Genomic DNA, 20,916 nt, shown 5'->3' with positions numbered 1-20,916 from the left:
CAAACTCCTGATCTCAGGTGATCTGCTGGCCTTAGCCTCCCAAACTGCTCAGATTACAGGTGTGTACCACCGCGCCTGGCCTGGCTTAATTATGATTATACTGCTCCATATTTACAATTATCAAGGCTGGGCTGATATGGCTACTGAAAACCAAGGCAATCTTAGTGGCATTATAACCACTATAATAAATAAGTGCACTGACAGATGTAAACTGTTGTGCATGCTTAAGAGCAGCTCTCCAGTACTGGGTTCTACTCCAGACAACAGAGTTTAAGAGCAACATTTTGTGAATACAGCACAGGAATGCTTCTAAGTAAAGTGAGCATGATTGTGAAGGGGTTTAGAAACCGTCTCAAAAGAAGGAATTGTTGAAAAAATGGAGAAGCCTAGCTAAGGGAAGCAAGGCGCAAAAACCTGAAGGGCAGTCACAGAAGGGAGAGAAAAGCCTTGGTCTGTTGTGCTCAAGGGGATGGTGTAACCTTCCTGAGATGATCTGCTGCGTTCCAGGAAGTGCCAAGAGTGGAAGCGAGCTTTTTGGGCTGATGTTTGCATTGTGATAATAGTCCAGTTGCCCTGGTGGTGAGTAGGCAGGAACACAGGTACTGTCTAAATGTGCAGCGGTACCTCTGTGAGGCCCCCTATTTGAGGGTAGTTTGCATATGGCAATTGTGGTTGATCTTGGAAGATAAAGATTATATTCTAGAAATAGGATATGAGAGGGCAATGTTTAACTCCCGGAAACTGAGCTTGGTAGGTAGTACATGTCTCAGGGACTGAAAATGAATGCCTAGTCTCAAAACAGTCTTGAATCACGGACAGTTTAAGAGTGGCAAGGCTGTGGGGGACAGACCCCATACTTTAAAAAGCAGGGATTAGGCACTCCACTTTTTTCTCGATTTTATTGCAGGACATTTCATTGTGAGGATATCCCACACCCCTCCCCCCACCCCCAGCCCTGCCTTACCTGGCAACGATGTAAATCACCTCCTGCACTTTGGACTGCCTCTAATATATGGTGCCCTGTTAACTCTGTCACATGAGGTTTCTCCGTTATTCCTGGAAGTCATTCATTCATTCACTCAGCTAACATTTATGGAGCACCTGCTATGCATTAGGTTCCTGTGCTAGGCACTGAGGAAAGATGATAAGAAAAAGACATGGTCTCTGTCCTCAAAGAGCTCTGTGCTTAGAAAGAAAGATTTCTAATGTGGTGAGTGCAGAACAGGGTGATTGGTGCCATGGTAAAAGTGAGTATAGGTTGCCCGAGTTGGGGAGATTGAAGAGAGGAAGAGGCCATGGAAGGCTTCCTGTAGGAGGTAATACCTGGCCATTATAAATAGCAGGTTGGAGTTAGCCAGGCAAAGGGCAGATACTGGGATTTGGGGGAATCAACATGGAGAGTAATGAAAGGAAGGGCATTTGGTTAAGGTGGCAGTATGAGGAATGGCAGGGAACAGCCCCACCACATTCAAGAAGCTGTACAGCTGGGGTTGCCAGAGCTTATGGTGCAAGGCAGAGAGTGTCCAGAAATGAGGCTGGAGGGGGTAGCGGGGGTCAGTGCATGGTGAGCTCTGTGTTCCCTGGGAAGGTGACTGGTTTTGTCCTGGAGTCTGTTGGAAGTTTTGGGTGGTTGTTAACTAGGACTGGCCTGGTCAGGTTTGTTTAGGCAGAAACTTCTGGCTGCATGGAGAGGCAGGACTTGAGGGATCCACGTTGTATCCAGGAAGATCATTTAGAAAGCTATTGCTGTCATGCAAGCCAGTGGCTCTCAGCCACAGTGCTGTGTCTGATCAGTCTGAGGATGGTCTCTGGTTCCTGCAGGGCCTGGAAACTGCCCACGATCTGAAGTCTGTTTCATCAGTGCTGCATGTTGATGGCCATAGAGTGCCCTGCACACATCTGCTGTGATGATGCATGAATATTTGTTTCTTGGGAGAAAAGAGATTGGGGCCCACTAATAGAGGTTAGAGATGACAAGGAACTGAGCTGGGTGGTGAGAAAAATCTAGGAAATGCAATCAGAGTGAGAAGACCACAGTGATTCTTCTCCCCTCTCTGGATTTCTAGCTTAGGGGACAATCCATGGATTGTGATCATAAATTGGGATATAAAGTATAGCAAAAGGAACAATTTTCAGGGCATAAATAAACAAATGCAATCTTGGACCTTTTTGGTTGAAGGTGCCTGAGGTACATCTGAGAAAGCTGTCCTATAGGCAGTTGGAAAGACAGTTCTGAAGCTTGGTGGAGGACTCATCAACATAGAGATGACCACCAAGCCAAGCAGGGTAGCTGAGGAAGACAGGGCCGGAAGGTACACTGAGGCTAAGTAGCTTGACTTATTTCTTATGCCTCATCCTAGAGGGCAGATACCCGAATACGGAAGTGTGGCATTTTAGTATGGATACAAACCAATGTGCAAATTATGTTATAGTTCTGGGATGAGGGAAGTTTAGTAAATGTGTTTACAGATGCAATGGCAATGAGTTTTGAGAGCTCAGAATGGGTGGTGAAAACCTTTGGGCTTTGGCCAGGCATGGTGGCTCATGCCTGTAATCCCAGCACTTTGGGAGGCCCAAGCAGGTGGATCATGTGAGGTCAGGAGTTCAAGACCAGCCTGACCAACATGGAGAAACCCCATCTCTACTAAAAATACAAAATTAGCCGGGCATGGTGGCGCATGCCTGTAATCCCAGCTACTTTGGGGGCTGAGGCAGGAGAATTGCTTGAACCTGGGAGGCAGAGGTTGCAGTGAGCTGAGATCATGCCATTGCACTCCCACCTGAGCAACAAGAGCAAAACTCCATCTCAAAAACAACAACAATGACAACAAAAAACCTTTGGGCTTCAGGGTCTAGTCTTGTCTGGAAATGCACATGTTATGTAATGTTCAACTATATCCTAGAACTGTGGTGCTTGGAGACATGCAGGGCCTGGTTTAAGCATCTTTTGTGGAGAAAGGAGATGGAGAAGCAAAAAAGGAAATCTAGTAGTCTGTCCATGGGGAAGGACTGTGATGAAGTGGCAGAGCAGATGGTGAAGATTTGGGCCTATTTATTGTGCTCCTGTCACCATCACTTCCAGTGGGTTTGGCCAATTATCTGACATATTGAGGCTGGGTTTGCAGCAATGTTTGGGAGCAGCAGGTGCTTCAGGAGGCTGGCTTTTGTCCAAGCTGCATTGTATAAGCCTGCTTTACCATTAATAAACTGACATTTTCTTCCCATCCGTTTTAGAATCTGGGAGCAGGGTGATTAACTGACCCCGCCAATGATAGTAGGGGCCATCACTGTACGTAACACTCACTTTCCCCTCGACCTCTCCTTCTGAATGCCGATTGTAACCATTCATTATGTGCCTGCTCTCACTCTCCTTACCCTTCTGCAGAAACACTCAGAAAATCCACGCCAACTGCCCTTCACCACTTCCCTTTCTCCTGCTCCACAGTGATCTAAGCAATGAGCCCAAATAGACCCACCTTCCCCCCAGGAATCCCCTCCATAGCGTCTGTGTCTCTCCACCCATCTCCAAATTGCCATCATGGATTACTGACTTTGTTGTACTTTACAGCTCACATCGGGCCTGAATTCCTAGTTCCTTAGACCTAATCTCAGCCGGAGAGAATGCAACATGATTATATGGGGAAAGCAGTTGGTGTTTCAGTGAATGCTTCCTAGGAATATTTGCATTTTAACAAGTCAAACAGTAAACATAAGTACTCTGTGACTAGACAGGAGAGCAATTTCTGAGCAGGATGTTTCTGAAGCCTCAGTTTCTAGAGCCTATCAGCTTTCTTGGATGCTCCCACACCAATAGTGTAAATAAAATTTTTTATTAACAGTTAGACGCTGTTATGGGCTTAATTTTGTCTCCTCAAATGTGGATATGTTAAAGCTCTAACCCCCAGAACCTCAGAGCATGATTGTATTTGGAGATGGGGCATTTAAAGCGATGATTCAGTTAAAATGAGGTCACTAGGGTGGGCCTAGTCCAATATGACTGGTGTTCTTATAAGAAGAGGAACTTTGGACACACAGAGAAATACCAGAGATGCACCTGCACAGAGAAAAAACCATGTGATGCTCCAGGGAGAAGGCAGTTGCCTGCAAGCCAAGGAGAGAGGCTTCAGGTAACACCAAACCTACCGACACCTTCATCTCAGAGTTTGAGCATCCAGAACTGTAGGAAAGAAATTTCTGTTGTTTAAGCCACCCAGTCTGAGGTATTTTGTTATTGACAGCCCTAGTATCCTAACACAGTTGCATAACCCATGTGGGAGCCACGGCTTCTCGGGGACTTGTGTTCAGAAGACTCAGGAATGTGTTTCTGCTCACCTTGGAGAAATGTTGGGGGACTGGTGTATGACAGCAGAGGTTCTTAAACTTCCATGTGCATGAGCATCCCCCAGAGGGCTTGTGAAACAGGATTGCTGGGCCCCACCTCCAGGGCTTCTGAGTTAATAGTTCTGGGAAGGGGCCCAAGAATCTGCATTTATTTATTTATTTTTTATTTTAAGAAACAAGGTATAGATATGTTGCCCAGGCTGGAGTGCAGTGGCTATTCACAGTTGCAATCATAGCAGACTACAGCCACAAACTCCGGGGCTTCAGTGATCCTCTTGCCTCAGCCTCCCCAGTCGCTGGGACTGCAGGTGCATGTCACTGCACCTGGCTCAAGATTCTGCATTTCTAATAAGCTCTGACGGTGCTAATCAAGGAACCATGCAATAGAAATTGAAACTGAGAAATTTAAAAATTATTTTTTAGTTCATTTTAAGATAGCAGTAATTAACCCATTATCTGTTAGAATAAATAACAGGTTTTAATTTAAAAAGCAATATTTTCAAAACAAAAAAAAGTCACATCATATTTCTTGGAAATTCTACTATCGGATGTGTAAGAGGAGGAGAGTGAAAATAGCAAATAACACCTTGGTATTATTATGAAAATAGTTTTGATTGTCACATTCTCCCTGAAAGTGCCCAAGGGACACCCAAGGGTTCCTGGGCCATATTTTGAGAACAGATGACTATGAGATGGGCAGAAGAAGGAAAGAGCTCCATTGAAGATGCCAGAGAAGTAGGAGAAAAACAGGGAGAGGGCCCTGTGATAGGAGCAGAACCTTAGTCTGTGCTGTGATCAAGATCCACCCACGTGGGAATAACTCAGATTCTCCTTTACCTCACATACGCAGCTGAGCCCACACACACCTGTGCAATGGAGTTAAACTCACAACAGAGAACAAATATCCTTAGTATGAGATCAGAAGTAAGTGTCACCCTGTGAAGCACCTGTTGGTCTTCCCAGATTCTTGGACTATTGATTCTGTTCCTCAGCCTGAGACTTTGGCACTGCATCGTCTCCTGAATCTTTGGTGATCTCTTGGGCTTTGAAGTTCATTGATTTTCTTGGCACCCTGATGCTGTTCTTCTCCTGCCCGTCTCCTTGCCATTAGCCTTTGTCCACAGCATGCTTTTCCTCCTTCTTGACCTTCCCACACATGAAAGGGTCCTTTGTGTGTTCCCTTTCAAGAGTGGGAAAATTCTTCCCAGAGTCCTCCCTGAAGGCTTCCCTCCAGTCTCATTGGCCAAGATTGTCTCACATGCCTGTTTCCTAAAACAAGTCACTTGGCAAGGGATATTAACCCCATGAGGCTAGAAAGAGACAGTGTCTCCCCTGAAGGACATGGCCACCTGGAGGATAATGAACAACATTTGGGTTTTATAGCAAAAAAGAAGGGTGAGTGGTGGCATGGTGATTGACTGCTGAGCACACAAGAGTGTCTGCCACGGAACATAGTCTTACTCAGCAGTGACCCTCTTACCATTTTCCCTTTCCTGTCAACCACAACAAAGTCTTTAGCTTGTTTACCCAACCTCCTACCAGTTTTTTCAGCTCTAGTTGTCTTTTGGAAATGAGAGACCTCCAGGAGTTGGGCTTAGGATAAAGCACCAGGGGAAATAAATCCCCAGGTTTGAAGGATGTATCATCAAGAGCCATTCATAGATGTTAACCCATGATACCCACTCTCTTCTTGTACCAATAGTTTTTCTAGCACACAAAAGCTAATCACAGAACCCAGCTCTGTTTTTAGGTAAGTAGCCCCAGCTTATTTGTGGTTGCAATGGAATGTTCCAGAGAAGATTTTTATAAATATTTTGTGCAAAATCCAAGAAACTTTGCAAACTTCCCCACTTACTCAGTGGATTGTCCGTATTATGTTTGCTTCCTGTCTCCGCAGGATTCTACAATACTCTTGATGGAATGTGCTTTTTTTTCTCTTTGGAGGATCATGTGTGGGGCCCCTCTTACTAAGAAGCCTTGTGTATGTCTGGAAAATGTCACTGACACACTGGATTTTCTGGTTAGTCATTTCCACAAGCAGTTTGTTATCTCTTGCTAATTCCTCAGATGAAACTTAGGCTCAGATTCTCACAATGCTCAGATTCTTTTCCTAGATTCAGTATGTCTTTAAGTTCCTGGAGTATTGGCTATTTAGCAGAAACTCAATTATTAGGCATTTATTTCAAATTGCTCTTCATGATTGCTACCGTACCTCTATAATCATCATCATTATTGCACTTCAGTTCACTGGTTGTTTGTTTCCATACTGGTCTTTATTTCCAGTGGTGTGTTCTTTGTTTGTACACTAAAAAAGAAAGGCTCAATTCTTGTGATAAATCTTCACTTATAGAGTCCTCCACCAGTTTATCTGTTTGAAAGTGGTGTAAGGTGATTGTTCCATTCCCTCTTCTATTCTGCCTGCTGTAGTTAACTACACCAGTACAAATGAAATGCATATGCATTTTATAAGCTTATCAACAAGACATCAAAACTACTCTGTACCATACTAAAATGGTGGATATATGTCATTATACATTTGCCAAGTGCATGAAGAGTAAACCCTGATGTACACCATGGGCTTTGGATGATAATGATGCATCAATATAGGCTCATCATTCGCTATACATGCCCCACTCTGGTGGTGGATGTTGACAGTAGGGGCAAGGGAGGATTTCAGAATTCTCTGCATCATCTGCTCAACTTTGCTGTGAACCTAAAACTGCTCTAAGAAAATAAAGTCCATTTTAAATCAATGGGGATGATTGGGTGGAATAGTACAGTGTTGATTAAGGTCCCCACGAAACCATGGCTCTGGGTAATCTTTTGAACAAAGGCTTACTGGAATTGCCATCACCTTCACTGTAAAAATCGCTTTGGCTGTGGCAATATGCAAAGCAGATCTGTATGGAGTGAGATTTATCTAAGTACAGAAGAGTAGAGGAACTCAGGGCATAACAAAAAGCTTCCAAACTTTTGTTCTAGAGGCTCAGTATCTGATTAATCTTAACGAGACTTCAGATTCAGAAAAGCTTGCAGCTTGTCACTTATCCTGCCTTGCCATCATTCCCTCATGTTTACAGCAGAATTTTCAAGGATTTCATACCGAAGGTTGAAGTTCCTGTAGTTATAAATCACATTTCCCCAGCCAGATGGTTTTTCTGTTACTTTCCCTGCTACATTCATTTGTCTGTCTGCCTGTCTGTCTGTCTGTCTGTCTGTCTGTCTGTCTGTCTATCTATCTATCTATCTATCTATCTATCTATCTATCTATCTATCTATCTATGTGGAGACAGAGTCTCTCTCTGTCACCCAGGCTGGAGTGGAATGGCGTGATCATAGCTCAGTGCAGCCTCAAACTCCTGGGCTCACACTATCTTCCTGCTTTAGCCTCCTGAGTAGCTGATACTGCAGGCACGAGCCACTGTGCCTGGCTCCCTGATACACCTGACCATCAGTGATTCCCAGATGGCCTCACTCCACATAAATCCTACATGTCCTCTTACTTTTTTACTCATTTTGCAGTATAAATAAGCTCAAATTCAGACTTATTTGGGTGGAATGATGTATCTGTAGTTATCAAAGTGTCTGATATATACTTTTTTTTTTTTTTTTGGCAGAGTCTCACTCTGTCGCCCAGACTGGAGTGCAGTTGAGCTATCTCAGCTCACTGCAACCTCTGTCTCCCAGGTTCAAGCAATTCTTCTGCCTCAGACTCCGAAGTAGCTGGGGTTATAGGTGTGTGCCACCATGCCTGGCTAATTTTTGTATTTTTAGTAGAGATGGGGTTTCACTGTGTTGGCCAGGCTGGTCTTGAGCACCTGACCTCAAGTCATCTGCCTGCTTTGGCCTCCCAAAGTGCTGGGATTACAAGCATGAGCCACGTGCCAAGCCATATACATTTCTTATAATATTTCAAAAAACATTGACTGAGTGTCTTTTATGTGATAGACACTATATTGGCAAATATGCATCACCCCCCAAAAATTTGATTTTTAAATCAGTTAAGGTGCTGTCAGCAGCGTGTAATATAAACTCCAACTCAGTATGACTTAAACGATAAGGAAATTTATTTTCTATTTTAACAAGAAGTTCATAAGGAGGGCTGCTCTGGGTTGAATTAACTCGGAGCTCAACCGCATCGTCAAGGATTCAAGTTTTTTTCCATCTTTAGGTTCTGCCACTTTAAGATTCTGGCTTTGTCCTCACACTATCATCCTCCCTGGGAGACAGCTGACTCAGGTGTCCCTGATGGATGCAACAATGTCTAGAGGAATAAGAGGACCATCTCTTGCATTATTTCTTTCTTGAGGAAGAGAATCTGTCTCAGGAGCCCCCTGCTCTATACACATTTCATTGGCTAGAAGGAGGCCACGTACTCAGCCCTAAAATAATTCTTAATCCCGTGAATGAGATAACCACAATAGACTTAGACAAATCAAGTCTCCTGGGCTCCTGGGACTAATTTCCCCATGTAGAATAGAATTCCTACTTGAAGAAATTGGAGTTTTGCAATGAAAAAAAATGGGGGAATGGATATTGAGTTGGCAATTGACAGCTTTTGGTTGAGGACACAGATATGTTAAAGATGACTGTTCCTTTTTCCTCAGAACTTTTGGTGAAGCCCAAATAGATGACATAGGCCCACACATTTTATGGAGAGATGATAGACATGCCTATACAACCATATGATCCTTCCCAGGCTAAGCTGTCACTCGCCCACTTCTGGATGATGTGCTTTTTGTGTGCACATTGTGTCTGGTTTCCTTTGCTTGGCGTAATATTTTTGAGATTCATCCATTGTTGCATGTATTAGTAGTTTTTTCTTTTTCTAACTTAGCAAAATTCTATGGGTTTTTTTCCATGTATCTGGGAAGATTACACCCCAACAGCATTTACAGTTTAAGGTGAGCAAGCACATCAGCTCCTTTCCAGAGAGTAGTTTGTCCCTGGAGGCCCAGTGCTCTGGAGTGTTCCCATTGCAGAGCTGTGACTCCCAAGGTCAGGAGCATGCAGAAAGAGAAGATGACAGATTGCTAGCAGACACCTGTCTGCTGCTTCCACTGCTGGAGAAGGCCCAGATACAAGTTGCATTGTACTGAGGGCTCCTGGGGATCCCCTAAGACGGTGAGGAAGTACAACTTTCTCCTTACAACTTGTCACCTACAACTTTCTTTCTCCTTACAACTTGTCACCAGAACTCCTTTTGTTCTGAGATTTTTGGACTTCGCATCTGAAGCAATAATCCAAATCACACGACAGCCTGCTGCAAAGATATTTTCCCCCTCTTGCCTGACAGAGTCCTGGAAAACAGAAGGCAGAATGAGGCAGGGAGGTTCCCCTCCTGTCTAAGTCCTACAGGGTACATTATTAGCAAACTCTTGGCCTTGAAGTTAGGAGTTGAGTCCAGTATCTAATCCAATCACTATTTTCTGTTGGAGTTATAGTAATCCCAGGCCTCAGGACACCCAGAACTATGAGCTAAACACTTAATTCCTCAGTATATTTAACTCATGTGGTTATGAGTCATTGTTAATACATTCAACAGATATGCTGGTTTCCAAGTTGCCTATCCAAAGTAAGGGTTTTAATTATTTTTCTTAGTGATTTGCTCATGTCTGCATACCAGCAGTCAGGCTTGGCTGACCAAAGCCATCTTGAAATATTTAACTTAGAATTCTGTATAGGACTAAAACACATCAAATATTTCTAAGATCTCTATCCAGAGACACAGGACACTCATCAAAGTTAAGTTCTAAACCAAGTTACAGTAGAAGGTAAAAACCAACTTTGCATTTTATACATTAATATCATATATAGAATCAATGAAATTTTACATGTTGTATTCCAGAAACAAGCATATTTTATCTTTTACAAAATTGAAAAAAAAGTTTATCTGGTAAGAAATAATTTGGAAACTTCTAGAACAGTGTCTAAGATAATGAAATTCATAAAGGTGCTTATTTTCATTTATATCTTGATATATAGCTTGAAATGCAATATGCCTCAATTTACCTGAAGCGTCAAATTAAATAAATAATAGAAGTTTGCAAAACAGGCTGTTCTTTCTTGCCACTTCGAGCTACCACTGTCTTCCTCCACCCCTATTTTGGAGGTAGGTGGGGAATAGTATATGCTTATTTTGAAATCAAACAATGTAGAAGTGCATAATGTAGAAAGTAAAAGTTTTCCCTGCTATTGACCCCCAACATAATCTCACTCCTCTAAAATAACCATTGTCTGTAGTTTGGTACATATATTTCTAGTCATTATACATATACAACTGCATTAGAATATAAACCAAATAGGATTATCATATACATATTATGCTATAACCTGCTTTTTTCACTAACAGTGAATCCTGGACATCTTTCCCTATGAACACTTACAGTTCTTCCTTGTCTTTTAATTAATTTAGTATTTTCACAGTATTCCATGGAATGGAATAAATTATATAACCAGTTGCATATTTGTAGACACTTTAGCTTCTGTTATAAATGATGCTTCAATTAATATCATTGAGTAATATTCCATTATTTAATACCTTCCCAATCTGAATTGACCTTGTTTGTTTATTCAGTAACTTGCTTATTGCCTGATACCTCCTGGAATGTAAGTTTTATGAGAGCAAGGACCTTTAGTGTTTTCCATTAGATCCTTATCCCTGAGATGGTGCCTGACAGATACCATAATTTGTGATTATTTCTGGGATCACTTGGCTGTTTCTAGAGTCCATCAATGATGCAGGGAGTCAAGGGGCACTCTGGAGAGGTGGCCGCCTCTGGTCCTCTCCCTGCCTCGTCCCACATTCAGCCCTTAGAGCTCCTTCCTGCCCAAGCAGTTCTCTTTTTGGAGAGTCTGATGCCTTGGGATCTTTCCAGTCTGAAAGCCAGGATCCAGTTTAGGTCTCAGGAATCCCACACCCACCCTGGCACCTTTCCTCTTTGCAACCAATCTGGCTGTATGGGGCCAGGACACATTTAGTCACTCGCATCCCCTGACCCCTGTGTTCTTGGCTGTATCTGATGTTCTCCTGAGGGAATGAATGCCCTTCATTGATCCAATGTGTTGGGAGCTGCACAGCAAGAAGTATTTGATATAAAAATACTTTAAGCTGGGTGTGGTGGCTCATGCCTGTAATCCCAGCATTTGGGAGGCTGAGGCAGGGGGATCACTTGAGGCCAGGAGTTCAAGACCATCCTGGCCAACATGGCAAAACCTTGTCTCTACTAAAAATACAAAATTAGCCAGGCGTGGTGGCCTGTGCCTGTAATCTCAGCTCCTCAGGAGTCTGAGGCAGGACAATCGCTTGAACCCGGGAGGTGGAAGCTGCAGTGAGCCGAGATTGTGCCACTGAACTGCAGCCTGGGCAACAGAGTGAGACTCAAAAAACAAAACAAAACAAAAAACTTTAAAATATTTATTTTTCTTTTGGATAAAAGTAACAAAATCCTTTAAATATCACCATGACTACTGAAGGGTAATGATTATGCTCATGAAATAAAACTTAAATCAGCGACAAACCAATGCTTTCATCTAGGTAGTGTCAGAAAGGGGGAAAATTCTGAGGCCTAAGCTGATATCCTATAGCTGCCTCTTCCCTCACCCACCCCATGTTTCCCTCTTCATCCGCCAGCCTTTCATTTGGTTGGAGGCTTTTTTCCAAGTGAAGACACAAACTGTCATTCCTAAATGATTAAGGTCTTGGTGGGCCTGTCTTTGTTGGGTTGCCACAGTTTTCCAAGGAGTGCAGTGGTGCGATCTCAGCTCACTGCAACTTCCGCCTCCCAGGTTCAAGTGATTCTCCTGCCTCAGCCTCCCAAGTAGCTAGGACTACAGGCATGCGCCACCACACCCAGCTGATTTTTGTGTTTTTAGTAGAGATGGAGTTTTGCCATGTTGGCTAGAGTGGTCTCAAACTCCTGGCCTCAAGTGATCTGCCTGCCTGGGCCTCCCAAAGTGCTGGATTACAGGCATGAGCCACCACGCTTGGCCTCTTGTTAGATATTATATGTTCTGTTATTTTGGTTATCTTCTTCGGGGTCACTAGTTATATAAATATTAATTTTCTTTGTCTTCTGTAACTACCATTTTCTCTTTCAATTTATTTAACTCTTAGTCATTTTTATTTATTTTACTATTTTCATTCCTCTTCTCTATGTCCATTATCATGTTATAGGAAATGTGTATTTTCTGTGCTGCTTCCAATTCTTTTCTATTTCTTTCCAGAGTTTTGGCAGTAATTCATGTTTTGCCTCCTTGTATCTTTTCCCCATGTCATCTCCAAGCTCTTATATTGTGTATTTCTTTTACAGTGTTGATTGTTTCACTGATTTCTAAAACTTGTAAAAATGATACGTTTTGTCAAACATGTTATCTACCCTATAGCAATATTTTCTGGGAGGGATTCTGTGTCATTTGTTTGTCTTGTTTCTCTTCTTTTCTTTTTCTTGTAGCTTTATTGTATAGGTCCTCAGTTCCACTTTAAAATTGCTATTCATTTTTTGATGAGTTGAATTGCTTCTGAACCAACTATTGTGTAAGAGTTCATGTAAGTGAGAAGCCAGAGTATTGTTCCAGCGTAACAGGAATTCTTATTTTGACACAGGATTGTGCATACGACCTCTTTCAATCTTTTCTCTAACTAATTATCAACACAGGGCTAAGAAGAAAGCAGAGCCTCTTCTTTTTCACTTTATTTACAAATAGATTTACCAAATACCTCTGTAGTTTGTCTGAGTGAGTGCTCATTTAGTTATACCTCCCCCTGATTTTTGAGAATGTATGTTGATGTTAAACCTGCCACTGGAGAATGTGGCTTATTGTGAGAGTCAAATGGGCTTGCTTGTGTTCCTGGCCTCCTGATCCTCCCAAGATTAGATCTTAGAACACATCACCCAAGGCAAAATTTGGTCTTCAGAACAGACCCATTTACCTGAGTGTGTGTGATAGAGGCTTGACGTGTGGTTTTCTTAGGAATTCTTAAGTGGTGTTCCAAAAGCTTCACACACACACACACACACACAGATACACAGATACACACACACACAGACATGCACTTGATATTTATAAATTTTAAAACCTAGGGTGCCAATTACACCTTTTTGTTTGCCTTAGTAAACAGGGCTTTATAACCAGTAAATGGTCCTGTGTCCCAATCCAGAGAAATATGGAAGAAGGGTCTTAGTAAAATATTTTAAAAATCATAAGGTTCTATTATTCCCATGGGTCTCTGTTCTATGTATGAGACATAATCTTAACTCCTTGGTATATCTCAAGTTCCGTGCCGTGAGGACCTGGTCTAGAGCTTGAAGTACAGATGACAGTGGACTTTATCACCTCCTCCCACTCCCAGAAAATGAGGAGGAGGAACTGTAACATGCATCCCAGTCTGAATACCAGACTCTAGTCCTGAAAAACATAAAATCAACCCAAACCTTGATGTAATCACTATACATTACATATATCAAAACGTTGTTGTGTATCCCACAAATAGGTACAATTATTATGTGTCAATTAAACAATTAAAAAATTAAAAAAATTTTTGGCCGGGTGTAGTGGATCATGTCTGTAATCCCGGCACTTTGGGAGGCTGAGGTGGGTGGATCATCCTGGCCAACCAACATGGTGAAACCGTGTCTCTACTAAAAATACAAAAATTAGCTGGGCATAGTGGCACGTGCCTGTAGTCCCAGCTACTTGGGAGGCTGAGGCAGGAGAATCACTTGAACCTGGGAGGCAGAAGTTGCAGTAGACGAGATCACATCACTGCACTCCAGCCAGGGTGACAGAGCAAGACTTTGTCTCAAAACAAAACAAAACAAAAATTTTAAAGACAGAAAAATGCTGTTGAGAGTCACTGAGTTCAGGGTCTATAGTGTGCAGGTTATCTTGCCAAAATATCATATACTTTTTCTTCTTGGCTATATTCTAGAGGTTGAATGGCAGATCTAGCAGTGATAGAAGAATATCTTTGGGAGACTCTAGTGGTCTCCTGGGCCACAGCTGGGGCTTACCTTTCACTGATGTATTAAGTATTCTTATTGGAACATTTTGTCCTCTTGGTTAAAAATAATGAATCTTTGGTTTAAGTGTCAGATGGTTAGGAAAGTTATTTTTGCTATTGGCAAACATATTAAGAGGAAAAATTGACTCATCTGGTCTAGAGGGAAAGGACTAGGTTAAATTCTAAAATCAAAACCTAATCTCTTAGCAGCTTAGGCAGTAGGCAAGTACAGACAAGAAACTTAGGCCCTTCACAGTTCAGCCTATGTAGGAACTATCCATCAATTTGGGAAATGCTGATCAAAATTCGATGGTCCCCATGAACACTTAGCCATGGCTACTAGGACAAAGCGAGCTATAAACAGACAACTTTCTCAGCTCCATGGGCTCCTGTGCCTCTGTCAGAACTCAAGGGCCTGGGTCAACTGCATGGCTCTAAGGGACATGGGTGAATATATTGCTGGAGTTTCCAGAGAAAAACGGGGGTTTATCTTCTGCAGAAAGCCACGAATGCCTTAGATTCTCCCTAACCTCAGATCTCACTTTTGAGCAGTTTCTCAACTTGAGGTTGAGGCATATAGAAGTAAATTGTGGTGATGTGTTGCCCACTGCTGGGGGCACTTGAGGTACTGGTGGTGTGTGCACTAGGGTGTGGACAGGAGGAATCGGCCCTGGTGGGTGTTCCACTGAACGCAGCCTACCTCAGCTTCCTCTCCTTCACCTGTGTCCCTGATGTCTCACCCTGGGAGGCTCCTCTGTCTTCCCTGTGCGGGAACAAATCAGCAGGTCTGGGCTTTATTTGTGGGGGTGGGAGTCAAATCTGGAGAAGGGACTGAAGAGAAAGAAGCAGGCACAGAGGTTCCCAATAAACATGTGGTGATTGCCAACTAAAGAGAATATGGTTCCAGAGAAAGGAGAAGCGCAGGATTGAGGAGCCAAGGGGAGTTTGAACTGGATGCACCGGTGGCTTTTCCCGACCTCAGCGGTGTGGGCTGCCCCTTCCTGGCCTGCAGGTGTGTGGCCCACATCCCCAGAAATAATGGCTGCTTCAGGCTCAGACTCAGGTAGATGTGGCTGAATCCACGAATTAGCTAGATTTGTGCTTAGTGGATTTTCTTTTTAAAAAAGCAGATTCTTGGCTGTGTGTGGTGGCTCATGCCTGTAATCCCAGCATTTTGAGAGGCCAAGGCAGGTGGATCACTTGACGTCAGGAATTCAAGACCAGCCTGGCCAACATGGTGAACACCTGTCTCTATTAAAAATACAAAAATTAGCTGGGTGTGGTGGCAGGCACCTGTAATCACAGCTACTCAGGAGGCTGAGGCAGGAGAATCAGTTGAACCCAGGAGGTGGATGTTGCACTGAGAAAATGTTGCGCCACTGCACTCCAGCCTAGGTGACAAAGCAAGACTCTGTTTCAAAATAAATAAGTAAATAAATAAATAAGCAGATTCTTAATGATGACATATGATATATTAATAGAGTCTCCTTATAAAAATGTAAACATTACAGATCAGGCTAAAGTCTGCTTTGTTCATCACTTACAATACTGACCCCCTCCACAGAGATAACCCATGTTTCTATATTTTCCTGGACTTCCCCTATGCATTTATATACATGTAACCATAGAAAACATATAGTATTATTCTATGGGGTGAAGGTTGTTAACACACATGGTATCATTATGCATGTAGATACATTTATAAGTAATAATAGAAAATATTAGTGTGGTTTTGTGGGGTGGATGTAGTTTATATACATGGTATTATTGTGTAAGTGTAATTTTGCAAGTTTTTTTGTGCTTAAAAATATTTTGGGAATTGATATGGTTTGGCTCTATGTCCCCACCCAAATCTCACCTTGAATTGTAATAATCCCTACATGTCATGGGAGGGACACACTGGGAGGTAACTGAATCATGGGGGCAGGTTTTTCTTGTTATGGTGAATAAATCTCATGAGATTTGATGGTGAGAGTTCCCCTGCACGTGCCCTCTTGCCTGCTGCCATGTAAAATGTGTTTTACTTCCCCTTCGCCTTCTGCCATGATTGTAAGGCCTCCCCAGCCATGTGGAACTGTGAGTCAGTTAAACCTCTTTTCTTTATAAGTTACCCAATCTTGGGTATGTCTTTATGAGCAGCGTGAGAGCAGACTAATACAAGAATCTTCCATGTCCGTGCAGTTAGATTTCATATGGATTACCTGCTAATTCTTTAGATGTTCGTCCCCCTTGCAAGGGTGAATGCAGTCTCCCCTGTCACTCGTACTCTTGTTGAGTGAAGGCTGTGTTTTTATATTATGTTTGATCTCTTCGGACTGTCCAGGTAGCCAGATTCTGCCTTGTCTACAGTGCCCCCGAGGCGCCCTCCCCCAACTCTTGGTTGTGTTGTATGCCACGTTCATGGTCTTTGCTTTCGTAAAAGAACACCTTTGGATTGCTCACTGTCCATGTGGTAAGCCTGGAAAGGCCTCCCCAGAGCCTGAGGATGCATGACAAGGAGGCAGTGATGCCTGTCAGTTGAGGAAACACAGCCCTCCTGTTTTGTTTTACTGCATCCTTTTATTTGCCCACAGCCTGCCAACAAGGTCAGCTCCAGAAACACAGAGTGTCATTCTTTTTCACATGGAGCCTGCACTAATAGAGGTGGCAGTTAAGAGGCTGGAAATGCCAGCAAGTGTTTTGCCAGTGGTCAACTTTGTTTACAAGTCTGGAGGTTTCTGTTTTATGAGAATTCTCATGAGGGGACACTGGGCTGACAGTTAGGAAGGACTAAAACCATGAGGGAAGCTCTTACCTTGCTGGTGAGTTTCTCTAGATAATGTGTAGTATGTATATTCAGACTTATTTCCTCACAGTGAAACTAATTAGATCCTGGAATAGGTCCCTAAGGAAATAAACCCACAAACTAGACAGTTTTACTCTAGTTAGCACTTGGGAAAGAAGATATTCAGATATTTCATTTTCTTGAAACTTTAGAAAAAAATTTTTTCTTAATCTCTATTGATTTTGTGCCTCTCTTTTCAACATATTCTAAATGTATTATAATTATACTTATAATTAATAGTATATAAACATAAGTATTAAATGTAAGCTTTAATAGACTCTACACTAGGTATGTTTGTTAAAACCTAATCTAAGTGAAATAGTAGAAAATACTTAAAGTGTGTTCAGTATTAATGAAGATGAACTATGGCATGTGTTTAGAAAATAATTTATTTGAAAACTTTCTCTAAGACGTTTCTACCAAGACTTAACTAGGTTTGTCCTCCTTCATGTCCTTTTTCTTTTTGTGGTGGAAAATTAGAAAACCTGCACTTCAACGTTTTCTCTGGCTCTTTTTTCCTTCTAGGGATAGAAAATACAAATCTCAGAATTGGCTGCTAAATTTACTCACCTTAGCAATAATTTTCCATCTGTGTTTATTTCTAATTAGTATTTACTGCCACAAGTCTTTCTCATTTTCATTTCATTGTATTTCTTTCCATACTGCTTCCATTTGGCTCCCATCCTTCAGTAATATTCATAACGAACTTCACTATGCTTCTCTCCACTACCGCCTGGCTCTGGATCCCAATGTCTTTGATCATTTTGGATTAATCTTTTAATTTTTTCTTGCTCTTTGTCGACACATTTTCACTGTAAGTTAATGAAAGTTTTGATTCTTCTGCACATGACAGATCACAGGGGCCACGGTTAAAGCTTGGAATTTAAGTATCTGACTTGTGCAGTGGGCAGTGAGGTATTCAATATCATGCCTTCCATGCAGAAAAGCAACTGCAGAACTTCTTGTGGTTATTACAAATTGTATCTTTCATTTCCTGAGAGTAACTGCCTGCTTGGCAAGGTTAAAACTTTCCAGCAGTAGGAACTGGAAACACCCACCTGTGGTAAGTTTCTGAGAAGATCAAAGAGTAAGAAAGCACTAAAAAAAAAAAAAAAAAGTAAGAAAGCACTAAAACTGTGATTTTGATGATGGCTGGCAATTATGATCTGTTTTCAGTCTAGTTTGATCAAGAAAGTGTAGGGAAGATTTCTTCAGAACCATAAACAGCATAGCAGTGGTGGATCCCATTGGGTATCCTGGGTCTTTTTGAAACATGGCATTTCATAAAATTTTGTTGAAGGTTTGTAGCAGACTTTCAAAGTGAGGGTTTCTAGCAGACTTTGCTGCTTTGGGTTTACCTGCACAGTGCTCGTGCCAATTTCGTTATTGTAAATGTAAATATGTAATTTAAGCCAACTTTCTTGGCTGAAAACTGTTATGTAATTCTTATAAAAATTAATGTCACCTTTTCTGAGACAGCAGGCTTTTTTTTTTTTTTGAGACGGAGTCTCGCTGTGTCACCCAGGCTGGAGTGCAATGGCACAATCTTGGCTCACTGCAATCTCTGCCTTCTGGGTTCAGGCAATTCTCCTGCCTCAGCCTCCTGAGTAGCAGGGATTACAGGTGCCCACCACGACGCCCAGCTAATTTTTGTATTTTTAGTAGAGACAGGGTTTCACCATGTTGGTCAGGCTGGTCGACAGCAGGCTTTTTTTTTTTTTTTTTTTTTTTGCCTCAAAGACTCTAGTCCCATGAAAAAGAAAAATTGCTTTTTAAAAAAATTAAATAATGCTTCTGAATTTTGCTATTAAAAATAAATAGTTTTAAAATTCAAACTTACTTATTACAAATATTGTAATATTGCCCAGGGCTGGTAAATAATTTAGAATATAGGTACATATAGATGCACATTTTAAAACTCCTAAATAAATCACTAACAAATCAAATCCAGAAGTATTAAATGATACATCATGATCAAGTAGGGTTATTCAATGAATTAAAGGATGGCATTATGTTAGGAAATTTATTTAACACAACACATTAGTAGATTGAAATGCTGGCCAATGGCTTAGTAAATCTGTTTCTCCTCCCTCTCAGGAAGACATCTAGATTTATGCCTGAGTTCTGGTAAATGAAATGCAGCTGGAAATGTTGCATGGCGCTTTCTTTTCTTTTCTTTTTTTTGAGACGGAGTCTTGCTCAGTCGCCCACGCTGGAGTGCAGTGGCGCGATCTTGGCTCACTGCAAGCTCCGCCTCCCAGGTTCACGCCATTCTCCTGCCTCAGCCTCCTGAGTAGCTGGGACTACAGGCGCCCGCCACCACGCCCGGCTAATTTTTTGTATTTTTAGTAGAGACGGGGTTTCACCGTGTTAGCCAGGATGATCTCGATCTCCTGACCTCGTGATCCGCCCGCCTCCGCCTCCCAAAGTGCTGGGATTTCAGGCGTGAGCCACTGCGCCCGGCCTGCATATCACTTTCAACTCTAGCTCATGAAGCTTTTTTCTGTGCAGTCATTTACTCTCTCTCTTACTCAGTGGGAGATGGCAGAGCCACAAGATGGAAGTGGTGGTTGCTTGAATTTGGAAGGCTACCTCAAGAACATTCACACCTGTCGCATGAATAAGTTTCTAAAGCTACTGCGATTTTGAGGATTGTTACAGAAGTTAGCCTCATACTGACTAATCCTGGTAGCAAAAGGGCATTTGATAAAATTCAGTACATATTCCTCATTTTTAAAAACTTATAAGATGGAATAGGATTCTTTTAACTCATTAAGAAATACCTATCTTATGTCAAATGCCAACATTGTTCTTCATGATGAAGTACTACAGGCATTTTCTTTAAAATAAAGAAACAAGACGAGGATGTCTACTGCTACTACTATTAATGTTAACTGGCTACAAGTTCCAGCTAATAGCTGAGGAATAAAATTACCATTATTTGAGAGGAAAAAATCATCCACCTAGAAAATCCAGGAAAAATCAACTGCAAAATTATTAGAGGGATTGAGGGACTTTAATAAAGTCATCTGCTACAAAATAAATATTACAAATTAATGTTTCCTATATGATCTTTAAAAAGTAAATTGTGTATCTTGAAATACATTATATATAAAATAATCATAAAACAAAAAGGTACTATGAAAAAAGAACAAAATTTTTAAAATGCTGTGAAATTAAAAAATGATAGCCAAAAAAACTTCAATCAAAAATTAAAAAATACATTTGATAAAGTTTCAAAGAAAAAAATCCAAAGAGATTGGCAAAAGGAGAGGAAAGATGAGAAAATTAAAGGATCCATCCAGGAGTCCAATATCTGACTAAAAGGTGAGAAAAAGCAAGCAGAAGGAAGAAAATTATAAAGAACATTTAGCTGATTTGGATGACTAAGCTTTATTCAAATTTCCTTAGTTTTTATCTAATGTGCTTTTTTCTTTTCCAAGATACCACATTACATTTAGTTGTCATGTCTCCTTCAGCTCCTCTTGGCTGTGATAGTTTCTCAAACTTCCCTTGTTCTTGAGGATTTTGACTCCTTTTGAGGAGGACTGGTCAGCTATCTTGTAAAATGTCCATCTGCTGAGATTCATCTCATATTTCACAACTAGAGTGAGGTTATAGGTTTTGGGAATATCAGAGGTAAACTGCAATTTTCATCACATCATATGAAAGGTAACACTCTCAACATGACTTACCTCTCTTTTGACTTTGATCGCCTTCTGAGTAGTGAGGTACCTCTCGCTGAGTT

This window comes from Homo sapiens, chromosome 8, assembly GCF_000001405.40.
Source record: "Homo sapiens chromosome 8, GRCh38.p14 Primary Assembly".
NCBI lineage: Eukaryota > Metazoa > Chordata > Mammalia > Primates > Hominidae > Homo > Homo sapiens.
This window is presented reverse-complemented; position numbering follows the sequence as displayed.